This window comes from Homo sapiens, chromosome 16, assembly GCF_000001405.40.
Source record: "Homo sapiens chromosome 16, GRCh38.p14 Primary Assembly".
Classification (NCBI taxonomy): domain Eukaryota; kingdom Metazoa; phylum Chordata; class Mammalia; order Primates; family Hominidae; genus Homo; species Homo sapiens.
The window spans coordinates 2,816,220-2,828,541 of record NC_000016.10 but is presented as its reverse complement, the minus strand read 5'-3'; the positions used below and the strand labels follow the sequence as shown (position 1 = coordinate 2,828,541).

The following is a 12,322-nucleotide window of genomic DNA, read 5'->3' as shown; positions in this document are numbered from 1 at the left end:
AACCACCTCCTGTTTCTGCCTCGCCCATGAGCAAAGAATGCTTCCTACATGTTAATATTCTTAGGAAACATTCAAAAGAACGATGTCTTGTGGTCCATGAAAATTCTTTGAAATTCCCATGCTCCAGTTCATTAAGTCAAGCGTCACTGGCCCACAGCCGCCGTGCGCTCATTGGCATGTGGCCTGTGGCTGTCTTCATGCTTGCACAGAAGCTCACATGGCTGTGACAGAGACCTGCAGCCCCTGAACCTAAAATTGTACCATCTGGCCCTTCACACAAAACGTCCGCCCACCCCTGGTTGATACCTATTCCCAAAGAACCACCAAAGCCCTGTCCGTGGTGCTGGATGGCAGAGTCAGGAAGGGGGCTCCCCGTGACACCCCAGCCCTGACGGGGCAGGAGCAGAGCAGCACATTAGCCTTGACACCTGGCCCTTCTTCTGGCACCTGCACCATCTCCCTGGAGGGGCTGGTGAGGGCTGGGTTCCCACTGACTAGTGTTTCAAGGTGAGGCCCCAGTTGCACCTCTCTGCACCCCCTCAAGCGCTCCTCTGATTTCAGGGGAAGCAGAGCCCAGGCCAGGGGAGGGTCAGCGGAGCCCCTCTCAGGAGGAGCCTTCTTCAGGGAGGTGGAGGTGGAAAAGGCCAAGCCCTCGGCCAGCACAGCTGTCAGAGGCAGGAGCTCAGATGTGGCACAAAGGGGCTGTGTTCTTGCCCCAGCCCAGCCTGAGGGCGCCTTTCCATGTTTTGCTGGCAGTTCAGGGGCCTTCTTTCTAACTCCAGGCTGGCAGGGTTTGATGCCCAGACGGAAAGTCGTCTGAGCCAGGACTCCAGAAGCACCAGCTGGGGTTGGGGGGACTTGGAGGAAGAGAGAGCACACTGGAGGGGATGTTCAGACGGCGCGAACACAGAGATCACACGTACTTGTTCACACACGTGCACTTGAAGATGGATGCACACACATGCACCCAGACACACACGCCCGCTCAGCCTCTCCTGCACGCGGGGGGCATGCACACACGAGGACACTCCTCCTCACCTGCGTGCCTGACCTGGGGAAGAAGCCCACCTGGTGGGAGGCACCCCCCTCCCACCCTCCATCTGCCATGGCCCAAGTGCTGGCCCCGAGCCCGTGCTCAGGGAGACTCAACACAGGCCCTTTGTCCCTTGGGATCAGGGCTCCCAAAACAGGGATTTACTGAGCATTTATTTCCTGCCCGGGGCACGCCCCAGTCCTCATTCTGCCAGGAGAAGGGAACAATGAGGCCTTCTCCTGCCTGCAGAGGTGGCCCGGGCCGGCTGGCCCTTGTGTGTCAGGAGTCGGGTTAGGGCCACAAGTCCCTGTCCTCCCTGCCCTCCAGGTGTGGGGCTTGGGAAGACCCCTCTGTGGCTCTGCAGCCTGAGGCACAGCAGACAAGAGGGTCTCCATCTGCACCCACTCAGTTGGCGGGGCCTTCCTGTGGCCTGGGGGCCAGGCTGAGCCTCTGTGGGAAGCCCCCAGCCTCACTGGAGGCAGGAACATGAGTCCCTGGCTTGGATCTCTGGGTAGGACTGTCCTGAATGAGACTCTGAGCAAAGTCAGGAGCTGTTTCCTCCCAGGGCCTTGGCGGCTCCCTGGGACTCAGGAACCAGAGGGAAGGTCCTGCTGGCTGGGGGAGGGGCAGGATCAGAAGCCCAGGGGCCTCTGCCCCAACCCCACCAGGCCGAAGCTGGGCTGTGCCCATGGACTTGCCCTTGAGCGGCTGCTGCTGCGGAAAGAGGCCCTGAGGGAAGGCACCGCAGCCTTCTGCTCCTGAAAGCACAGCTCCCGCATGCCCGCGGCACACTCACTGAGTTCCCGTTGGTGCCACGCCTGTGCTAAGCATTTTTTTTTTTTTTAGAGACGAGGTCTGTCTCTGTTGCCCAGGCTGGAGTGCAAGTGGCTCGATCTCGGCTCACTGCAACCTCCACCTCCCAGGTTCAAGCGATTCCCCTGCCTCAGCCTCCCGAGTAGCTGGGATTACAGGCACCCACCACCACGCCTGGCTAATTTTTGTATTTTTAGTAGAGACGGGGTTTCATCATATTGGCCAGGCCGGTCTCAAACTCCTGACCTTGTGATCTGCCTGCCTGCCTCGGCCTCCCAAAGTGCTGGGATTACAGGCATAAGCCACAGCGCCCAGCCTCCACTAAGCATTTTATCTGCACTTTCCCCAGAGAAACTCAATACTTTTATTGGAAAACCAGGACACATAGCCATACATTTTGCCTAATCTTTCATGTAATTAACCTTCTACTAGTGCAAGTGTTGAAAAGAGAATACACTATTCCCAAGTTTCAAGTTGAGGGAGGCGGGATTCCCGGGTTCTGGTTTCTCCAGCCTACCCTGGTGCGTGTGTTGCTCCTTGGCGTCTGGGTCAGCTCAGGCTGCTGTAACACAAATCCCACGCCGTGGGCGGCTGGTAGATGATAGAGGTTTGTTTCTCACAGCTCTGGAGGCTGGAAGTCCAGGATCAAGGTGCTGAGCGATGCGGCTGCTGGTGAGGGCTCCTTCCTGGCGAGCAGACCCCCATCTTCTCACTGTGTCCTCTTATCTGGGGAGGGGCGAAGAGGAGAGCCCTGGTCTCCTTTTCTTATAAGGGCCTTAGCCCATCACTGGAGGTCCTGTGCTCATGACCTCATCTAAACCTAATTACTTTCAAAGGTCCCACCTCTTGACACATATGCTTAGAGCTTCCACATATGTACTTTGGGGAGACAAAGACAGCCACAGCACCTGGTTAGCATCCCCCTGACTCTCTCCTGAGGCAGGCACCTGCTTAGAACCTGGGGCTCGCCCCACTCTCCTGACCTCCTCTCCTGGGGGCCAGGAAGTGCCCCACGGGGGCCGACCCTGTCCACCTCCGTGGCTGTGCTCCAGCTGACTTGCTCGGGCCCTGTCCTGTGAATGGAGGAAGGATGTTGGGCTCAGCCTTCGCACCTGCCCCGGTAGATTCCATGATAAGGGACCTGAGCGGCCTGGCCCGGCGCCACACTCCGACCCTGTTCCTGACTGCACCTCCCGCAGCCACTCCCAGCCTCGGTTTCTCTATCGGTAGATAAGCCTCTAGCACACCTCAGCACCTGAGGCTGTTGGGAGGGAGGAGCGAGACAATGTGTGCGGCCGCCAGCCGTCTGCTGGGGGGAAACGAGTCCGTCTTATTAAGGTGATACGGTTTGGCTGTGTCCCCGCCCAAATCTCATCTTAAATTGTAGTTCCCATCATTCCCACATGTTGTGGGAGGGACCTGGTGGGAGGTAATTGAGTCGTGGGCAGTGAGTTACCCCTATGCTGCTGTTCTCGTGATAGAGAGTGAATTCTCACGAGATCTGATGGTTTTATACAGAGATTTCCCCCCTTTTGCTTGGCACTTCTCCTTGCTGCCACCATGTGAAGAAGGATGTGTTTGCTTCCCTTTCTGCCCTAATAGTAAGTTTCCTGAGGCCTCCCCAGCCACGCTGAACTGTGAGTCAATTAAACCTCTTTCCTTTCTAAAATACCCAATCTCAGGTATGTCTTTATTAGCAGCGTGAGAATGGACTAATACATGAGGACCGGCCCGGACGAGGCCCTCGATGGTGTCAGGCACTGGAACAGCCTCAGACTGGTTTGAGTCAGTTGCTCATCTCCTTCCCAAGAGTGGTTGAGTCCTCCCTGGGAGGCTGCAGAGGGAGTAGCCCTGTGGGGGGCGTCGCTGGTCCGGGAGGCCAGTTCCTGACTGCAGCCCCCACAGCAAGCCATGTGGAGGGCCTGGAATTTTCCAGACTCGAGGATGGACGATCCAGATGGACCAAGATGGCAGAAGCTGAGGATGGGCCCTGGGGAGCTGTCCTCCAAGGACAAAGTCAACAGACATTTCCCCTACATTTACCACCCAAATTCAGACATACTGGAGAGTAAAAGGTGACAGTGACACCCACGCAATCCCTGCCTCTCCAGTCCTCAGCATTCTCCTGTGTGGGTGTCACTGCATTTGTCCATGTCCCGGACCCTCCGTCCACTCATTGGTTCATCTTCTTTCCTCAGACGTCAGGTGCAGACCTCAGTTCACTTACCCTCAGGGACTTCCACATGCGTATCGTTAACTAGACTTTTGGGGGGTTGGGCTTTTCCCAGTTTGAAGCACAATTTGCATACAACGAAATCACAAATCTCGAAGTGTATATTCACAGGTTTAAAAAATATTTATGGATTCCGGACCACCTGGCTGGGCTGGGGCATCTGGCAGGAGGTCTGGGGCTAACTGCCCACGTGAGACCAGCCTGGACAACAAAGTGAGAACTTGTCTCTACAAAAAATAACTTTAAACAACTTAGCTGGTGGTGGTAGTGTGGGCCTGTAGACCCAGCTACTCAGAAGACTGAGGTGGAAGGAGCCCAGGACTTCAAAGTTGCAGTGAGCTAGGATCACGTCACTGCACTGGCTCCAGTCTAGGTGCCAAAGCGAGACCCTATCTCTTAAAAAAACAAAAGCAAACAAACAAACAAACGAAAAGCAAACAAAAAACTAGGCCAGGTATGGTGGTTCACGCCTGTAATCCTAGCACTTTGGGAGGCCGAGGCGGGTGGATCGAGAGGTCAGGAGTTTGAGACCAGCCTGGCCAACATAGTGAAACCCCGTCTCTACTAAAAATTACAAAAGTAGCTGGGCATGATGGCACTCCCAGCTACTCAGGAGGCTGAGGCAGGATAATTGCTTGAACCAGGGAGGCGGAGGTTGCAGTGAGCTGAGATCGTGCCATTGCACTCCAGCCTGGGTGACAGAGTGAGACTCTGTCTCAAAAAAAAAAAAAAAAAAAAAAAAGGATGACAGGCAAACTGGCTGAAAGCTATTGTAGCCATTAAGTAGCATTTCATGACTGGGTTGAAATAAAGCAGAAAACAGGGCCAACTCTATAAAAGGGACCACTAGTACAATTTGAACAAGTTGTGTTAGCGATATCGCCAAAGTTACCCACTAGGTGGAGTGAAGCATGTTTTTAGGTCCAGTTCTGTTAAGTTACCCAAAGCAGTTACTGGCTGTAAAATTTTAATTACACATTATCCTGTCAAGGGAGAAAGGTGCGCATTAAGAGAGGTAAGTGGACCACCATGATACGGAATCTCGTTTTGATGGTCTTGGGAAAAGCTGCAGTATGAAGCCGGCAATTTTGCAGTTAAAATGTCTCTGGTTATGGCCTTGGATGGTTGGTGAACTCTGTGCGGTCCACACATCAGGCACAATACTTGTCCCTTGATATTTATGTTAAGTTGTTTTGTTTTAGCTCGCAGGGCATTTATGAAAGAGCAGCTTCCAGTTTTAATAATTCCGTAGGAGAAAACTGGATTGGAGGAACTTAGAATTTAGGGTCCAATATAGTCTACAGGTAGATGATAAAACTGATCTATAAACAATTTAAATATGACATTCCAAAGCCTTCGTAATGTTACAGGATCTCTGGGGTGTTGTTTTTCTGGCTGGAAATCTGTGGCTGTTGGCGCCTTGGCCCGAGTTTTGCCCGTTTCCACTGAGGAAAAGGAGTCATCTCGTATGTCCACTGTCCAGAATCTCCACTCTTCCACCCCTTTGCTGATTTAAGTAAGAGTGATGACCTGCTCCCTGCAGGCACTGAGGAATACATCCATGCAAGGATTTAACAGAGAAATGACAGGAAAACCCTTAGCACTGTCTAAGCGATCACTAAGGATTACAATAAAAAGCAACTAGTGAAGGCATTTAAGAGGAAATTTCCCTGCAATGGGACGGTAATTGAGCATCCAGAATATGGAGAAGTCATTCAGCTACAGGGTGACCAGCGCAAGAACATATGCCAGTTCCTTGTAGAGGTGGGACTGGCTAAGGACGATCTGCTGATGGTTCAAGGGTTTTAACTACTTGTGGCTCACTGAAACTTAAGTGAGGATTTCCCTGTAATGAGTAGAATTTCCCTTCTTTCCCTTGTTACAAGTTTTAAAACCTCACAGTTTGTCTAATTTAACCATTTGAGGTCTGCTTTTAACTTGAACTAGTGTAATTCCTTTATGCAATAAACTGCAAAAATAAAAATAAAAAAATAAAAACATCGCTAAGGGAGGACCATGATTTTCGAACTTGGAGCCAGCTGGAGTCCCACAAGGGGAACCATTATTGCCTACTTTCTGGGTGCTCAGAGCCTCACCTCGGGGCTGCCCCAGCTCTGAGGCATCCCGTGCCCCAGAACTACTCTCAACATGGTGGGGGGAGTGGTCAAGAGAGAAACGCCCACCGTGGTGTCCTTGTCCTCAGTGGGCCAACGCTGAGGCCCCCACAGGATTGCACCCCAGTTGCCTAGAATGGTACCCTCTATGTTTGTGTAAGCTCATTGGTGTTCCTTCCTTCCCTGCCTCGGTTTCCCCATTTCCTGCAATCCCCTCCCAGATAAACTACCTGCACCTATGTCCTGGTCCTAGGTCAGCCTTGGGGGAACCATAGTAAGATCAGGATGTCTGGCGTTTCTGTGCCGGATCCTTGTGGGGTGAGGGATGTCAGGATTGTTTCCTCCAATGCACACACCCCCAATCCAGGCTTCCCAGCTCCTGGCACCCTGGAACTACTCCTGTTCCATTGCTGAGCATGATGTGCGTCTATAATTTCAGCTACTCAGGAGGGTGAGGCGGGAGGATCGAGACCACCCTAGGCGTTCAAGACCAGCCTGGGCAACACACAATTCTCTTTCTGATCGAAATAACCAGATGGTTCTATGGTGCAGAACAGATGTGGGTGTGAGCCAGGGGCACAGACAGGCTGTCTGCACAAGAGAGAATGAGCTGTCCATGAAGCCACTGCTTTTGAAGAATGCCCTGCAAGGCATCAACTGGAATGTGTTTATTACCAAACAAGACAGAAGAGAACCAGGGCCTGACTTGGCAGTGGCCCCAGGCTGCATGGGCTCAGGTAGGCTCAGACCGGCCCCAGGAGTGGGAGAGCCCAGAGAAGAGGGAAAAAGAGTAGCGGCCAGGAGGGGTCTGGCTGGGACATGCCACTCTGGGCCATCAGCTTCTGGATCCACTCAAAGTGGTGGCTGATATTGGTGTAGACACCGGGCCGATTGGGCCGACCACAGCCCACTCCCCAGCTCACGACTCCAATCTGATACCACAGTCCATTCTTGTTACAGGCCAAGGGTCCACCTGAGTCACCCTGGGGAGCAGCGGGGCTGAGGTCAGCCTGGGGCAGAGTGAGTGGGGCAGGGGAGGGGCTGAGAGTGGGAAGGGCTATGGGGCTGGGTAGACTGGGTGCACATCCTCCTCCTCCCCCTGGCAGCAGCCAAGCCTCCGTTTCTGCATCTGCAGAGTGGGGCAACAGTCTCCACCTCCCGGGGTTGGCATGAGGGTCAAATAAGGCACAGGGACACAGGATGCTTTCCTGGGCTGGGAGTGGTGGCAAGGACACTCACGAAGCAGGCATCCTTCCCGCCTTGGGCATTGCCAGCACAAACCATGTCTCCAAAGATGTCCTTGCGGAAACTGTACTTGAGGAAGAGGTGGTTGCACATAGAGTTGTTTATGATGGCGACCTGAACTTCCTGGAGGGTGTGGGGAGATGGCAGTGCTGTGCGGACGATAGTGGGAAGGAGAGAGACAGCAACCTGAGGCCCCTCTATGGAGGGATGGCATAGGCTGCGGGGGTGGGGGCCCTGGGGCACCCACTGTGCCTGGCAGGTTCATCTCCATTACCCCCAGCTCCAACCCAGACCCCAGCACAACAGAGGCCCTCAGCAGCATCACAGAAGGCCCCGGGGAGGGACAGGCTGTCAGAGCTCCCCCAGCCGCACTTTCCCTATCTGTAGAATGGCAACAATGGCCCTGCCTGCAGCCATGGAGAGATTCCTCAGCCAAAAGGAGCCGAGGGAGGGGCGAAGGCAGCTGAGACGGTGTTCAGATGAGCATCCAAAGCCAGACCTGGGGGAGGGGCAGCCTGGCTGCAGCCCTGGCCTCAGTAGCAGCTGGGCGCTTTCCAGGCCTGGACACAAGCTTGTTGCAGCACTCTTAGGGACCCCCAGCACCCCTGGGAGGCGGCAGTCATCAGGACCTACTCCCAGATAAGGAGAGTCAGGGGGATATTGCCCCGCTGACCCCCAGCAAGGCACTGGGGAAGTTTCAGAGCCTGACAGGAGCCCACACCTGTCCAATTCCTGCCTCAGAGTGCCAGCCAGCACCTTGTCCTGCAGAGGATGACAAAAGACAATGAGACCCAACCTGCAGGCAGCGCTTCCCGTCAGCGGGGCCTCTCCTAAGCCCTCGGGACTAACAACCTGGGAACTAGCCTCTGATGTGGCACCATCATTCCCCTATTTCACAGGGGAGGAAACTGAGGCACTGTAAGATGAACACCTTTGCCCAAGGCCTCCCAGCCCGCGCAGGGCACAGCAAAGGTGCACACCAGGCAGGGGGCTCCAGAAGTGCCTGTCCCCTGCCTCCCCGGCACTGTGAATTGAGGCACAGCCTGGGGTTGGTGTGACCTGTCTACCCTGGGCTGGGGAGAGAGGGTGGCAGAGGCAGCCTGGCCGTGCCCCTGGCTCATATCCACTCGTGTTTGCAGCAAGGGTCCTTCTCAGGGAAGGCAAAGGATCCCTCCTCCAGAGGGAGGCGGCTCCAGTGCTGAGTTCCCCACTCCCAACTGCCGGGGTGTGACTTGGGGACATCCCTTACCCTCTCTAAGGCAAGGGGCCCTGACTTCTCCATTTACTAGTTCTTGGCAATTTCCATAACCCTCTCAGTTTTCTCATCTGTAAGATGGGTATAAGAACGTTACCAACTTCATTCCTAGGTGAGCTCCAGCAGGAGGAGAGGCCGCGCCTGGCTCACTGCTGGGCCCCCATGTCTAGAACAGTGCCAGGCACACAGCGTGTGCTCAAGGAACCACGTTTGTTATTGTTACTACTGTTGTGGGATGATGCAGGGACGGGCCAGACAGGGGAGCAGAGGGAAGGGATTCCTGATACAGGGAACACGCCCAGTCTGGGGCTGCCGGGGCTCCTCCGGATGCTGGGCCCACTTCTTTCAGGGCATGTGTGTTGGGGGACACGCAGGTGCCAGGGCAGGCCCACCAGAGGAACCCCCAGAGGGGTTTCCGTGGGAGCTGCGGTTGAGCATGGCTTGGAAGTTTCTGGGGAGAGGAATGGGCTCAGTGCTGCAGGAGAATCGGCCAGAGCTAGGGTGGGTGTGGGAGGCATGGAGAGGCAGCCCAGGAGCCTGATGCCTGGGGCATTGGTGAGCACTGGGGGAGGTGGAAAGATGCAGGAATAAATCCAAGTATGAGGTTTATGTCGCCAAGCCCTCCAGAACCCCTCCACCACCGCACCACCCACAGGCCTGCGCCAAACTGGCCTCCCTCTCACACTCTCCTTCTGGCCCCCACAGCCCCTGGAAGGGAGAGAACTGGGTGTTTGGTCCCTGCCCTGGCAGGTGAGGAGAGACTGCAAGCAAGAGGGGCATAGCCTGCACCCCCAGACCAAGCAGGGGGCTATTGTGCCTATGCAGGGGAACAGGTGAACAAAGACAGTTCCTCCCTGACCCGCCTGTCCCCAGCCTCACCCTCATCCTCTTTGATGTACCCCCAGCCAGTCACCCAGCAGTCTGTCCGGTTCTCAAACTCAAATGTGGAGGCCTGGAGACAGATGGGCTGGATGTGTTTAGTGTAGGTGACAGGTGCAGACAGCTTCACCAAGGCAATGTCATAGGGTGAATTCCCCAGGTAGCGAGGGCTCAGATAGATATTCGATACGAAGTAACGGGTGTAGTAGGCCTGCAGGCTCCAGAAGGATGGCATGGAAGTCAGCTGGCCAAACTGGACCATCCACCCGGAGGGATCACTAAGGTCACTATAGCTGGCAGAAGAGAAGAGAGCAGTCAGGGGCCCTGGATGGAGGGCTGGCTACCTGAGCACAACTGGGGTCCAGTGCAGGAGGGGAAACTGTGGTGTTGCTGCTACTTGCTAACACCCAGGGTCCCCTGCAGAAATGAAGGAGCCCAGACAGACCACAACCAAAGTCCTAGGACCTGCTCCTGCAGCAGAAGGGTGGGGTCTTGTCACCTCCCAGAGCTGTCCCAAGGAGCCTTGCATTGAGCCAAGGCCTCCAGGGGCACCCCCATGCAGCCCAAGGAGGAATGGGGAGATGCACCACGCCAATGTGGGATTGGCAGGATGGAGTCCACACAGCGGCCCGGGGGTGCTGGCCTTGGCTCAGTGCCCCACACTGTACCGCACCGTCCACCAGGAGGGGGGATGAGGGTGGGATGGTCAGTGGTGAACTTTGGGTTGAAAGAAAAAGGGAGAGAATACCCAAAAGTGTGTGGAAATGTTCTGGAAGAACATTCTGGAATAACCTGAACAGGGTTCCCTCCAGGAGACCCAAAGGGAACTGGAGTGGGTGTAACCGGCTGCAGCACAGCCTGGGGCTCAGGAGAACACCAGGCCGCATCCACGCACAACTTTCACGCCCAAGTCTGGCATCAGACCAGAGGTAAAGTTCGGTGGCACTCCCTCCAGCCCTGTTCCTGCCCGTCCCCGCACCCCTCCGTTCGCACCCCCACTCACGTTTCAAAGCAGTGCGCCGCCGTGAGTGCCCAGCGGTGGCTGAGCAGGCTCACTCCGCATACGTGGGAATCCCACAGGCGCAGGCTCCCCTGCCACGGCCAACGCCCGAGTTCGGCGTCCTCTCCACCCACGATGCGCGACGTGATGACCCGTCGGCCGCATGGTCCTCGGATGGTCAGAGGAACTGCTGAGCCGCGGGAGGCAGCCCCCCAAGCCCGACCTCTCCCTTTCTCCCCTTCAACCCCGTCCGGGAAAGCACGTTTTTGCCCACCCAGGGTCCCCTCGCGTGTGTGCAGCAGGAAGTAGGTGACACTGGAGATCCTCCCACGTGCTCTGCAGGGCCCGCCCATCCCCCTCCAGCGTCCGTTAGTTACTTTCCACGCCAACAGAGTTCTCGATCCCGGGGGCGGGGGCGAGAGAGCAGTAAAGGCCCCCCTCTACCCCCTCACCGCCCCCCGTCCACCTCGGCCCAACGGCCCTGGCAGGAATCGCGCGTCCTGGGCGCCCTACCTGATAACGGCGCCGCCTCCTGCGACTCTGCGGGAGACAAGAAGTGACTCCCCGCGGCCTCCACCTCCCGTCCTCCCCACCGCTCCCCCGCCTCCCCATCCCGCCAGCAGCGCCCCGAGCTCACCCGGCTTCCTGAGTCCAGCCCGAGCCAGCAGCAGCGCCAGCAGCAGCGCCCCGCGCGCGCCCATGGCCTCCTCTCCCGCGGCCTGACGCCCCCTCTGCCTCCTCTCGCGCCGGGCCCGGGGCGCCCCCTGGGGGCGGGGCGGGGTGGGAGCTCTGCCCTCTACTCCCAGCTTCACCCTCCTGGGCCCAAGGGCTGTTTGGGGCCTCTCATGCCTGGCAGCGCCCTGGCTTTCAGCCCCTAGGGGCGGGTCTTCAACCACACTTCTTGATGTGGCCCAGACCCGGTGGACCCCACAGTCCCTTTCTTGTCTGCAGCCCAGGGGTCCCGGCTGCCCTCTTGGTGACCCCGTCCTCCACCTACAACCTCCTCCAGCACCAAGGGCCTGGCCCTGAGCCAGGAGTCCCCTTAAAGCCTGGGGACCCCCTGAAGGCCGGGTGGGGCCTAGAGGCATGGCTGCTCCTTCATGGGACCTTCTTGGGAAAACAGTGGTCCTCGGCCCGTTCCACCCAGAATGGGGATCTCCCCAAGTCTCTGCCCAGGCTGTCCCCACTGCGGGCTCCCGCTGGGCTCTCTTCACTTCTCTGGAACAATTTTTTTTTTTTTTGAGATGGAGTTTCGCTCTTGTCGCCCAGGCTGGAGTGCATTGGCGTGATCCCAGCTCACTGCAACCTCCACCTCCTGGGTTCAAGCGATTCTCCTGCCTCAGCCTCCCAAGTAGCTGGGGTTACAGGCGCGCGCCAGCACACCTGGCTCATTTTTGTATTTTTAGTACAGACGGGGTTTCGCCATGTTAACCAGGCTGGTCTCCAACTCCTGACCTCAGGTAATCCGCCCACCTCGGCCTCTCAAAGTGCTGGGATTACAGGCATGAGCCACCGCGCCCAGCTGCAATTCCACTTCTGAGCATACACCCAAAAGAACTGAAAGGAAGGTCTTCAAGAGATATTTGTTTTTGGTTTTTTGGGGGGATTTAGTTTTGTTTGTTTTTGAGATGGAGTCTTGCTCCATCGCTCAGGCTGGAGTGCAGTGGTGCGATCTTGGCTCACTGCAACATCTGCCTCCTGGGTTCAAGTGATTCTCCTGTCTCAGCCTCCAGAGTAGCTGGGATTAGAG

General features: G+C 56.4%; 1 protein-coding gene and 1 pseudogene across 12 annotated transcripts, besides 4 other annotated features; one reads left to right on the top strand and one right to left on the bottom strand.

Moving 5' to 3' along the window:
* EIF1P4 (eukaryotic translation initiation factor 1 pseudogene 4) lies at positions 5,548-5,885 on the top strand (annotated as a pseudogene).
* Positions 6,823-11,305, bottom strand: PRSS21 (serine protease 21). 12 transcript variants are annotated; one of them, NR_073012.2, is made up of 6 exons: positions 11,210-11,305; positions 11,086-11,112; positions 10,576-10,741; positions 9,573-9,783; positions 7,475-7,587; positions 6,823-7,176 (listed from the first exon to the last, which is right to left on the bottom strand). NR_073012.2 is itself a non-coding variant. In NM_006799.4 (6 exons), exons 1-6 carry the CDS (start codon positions 11,271-11,273, stop codon positions 6,937-6,939), a joined length of 945 nt encoding a protein of 314 aa, NP_006790.1. In that variant the 5' UTR covers positions 11,274-11,305; the 3' UTR covers positions 6,823-6,936. The 12 variants fall into 12 exon arrangements, 11 of the variants coding, with proteins under 11 accessions (NP_006790.1, NP_659206.1, XP_016878367.1 ...); NM_006799.4 differs by having other exon boundaries at positions 7,433-7,587; positions 9,573-9,865; NM_144957.3 differs by having other exon boundaries at positions 9,573-9,865.
* Positions 7,509-8,008: an enhancer, noted in NCBI's record as "H3K4me1 hESC enhancer chr16:2870535-2871034 (GRCh37/hg19 assembly coordinates)". NCBI's record gives its function as "activates a minimal SCP1, AML or CMV promoter by ChIP-STARR-seq in primed H9 embryonic stem cells {active_cell/tissue: H9 hESC(primed)}" and the evidence as "EXISTENCE:reporter gene assay evidence [ECO:0000049][PMID:30033119]".
* Positions 8,009-8,510: an enhancer, noted in NCBI's record as "H3K4me1 hESC enhancer chr16:2870033-2870534 (GRCh37/hg19 assembly coordinates)". NCBI's record gives its function as "activates a minimal SCP1, AML or CMV promoter by ChIP-STARR-seq in naive H9 embryonic stem cells {active_cell/tissue: H9 hESC(naive)}" and the evidence as "EXISTENCE:reporter gene assay evidence [ECO:0000049][PMID:30033119]".
* Positions 10,988-11,047: a silencer, noted in NCBI's record as "silent region_7075". NCBI's record gives its function as "represses an Ori minimal core promoter by ATAC-STARR-seq in GM12878 lymphoblastoid cells {active_cell/tissue: GM12878}" and the evidence as "EXISTENCE:reporter gene assay evidence [ECO:0000049][PMID:35858748]".
* Positions 11,158-11,437: a silencer, noted in NCBI's record as "silent region_7074". NCBI's record gives its function as "represses an Ori minimal core promoter by ATAC-STARR-seq in GM12878 lymphoblastoid cells {active_cell/tissue: GM12878}" and the evidence as "EXISTENCE:reporter gene assay evidence [ECO:0000049][PMID:35858748]".

What these genes read in the sequence shown, in the direction of transcription:
- PRSS21 (NM_006799.4), bottom strand. Translation starts at nt 11,273, where the DNA reads ATGGGCGCGCGCGGGGCGCTGCTGCTGGCGCTGCTGCTGGCTCGGGCT. An exon ending in GCGGCGCACTGCTTTGAAAC is followed by an intron (nt 9,866 to 10,575) that starts GTGAGTGGGGGT and finishes CTCTTCTGCCAG; the next exon opens with CTATAGTGACCTTAGTGATC. An exon ending in GCGGGAAGGATGCCTGCTTC is followed by an intron (nt 7,177 to 7,432) that starts GTGAGTGTCCTT and finishes GCTGCTCCCCAG; the next exon opens with GGTGACTCAGGTGGACCCTT.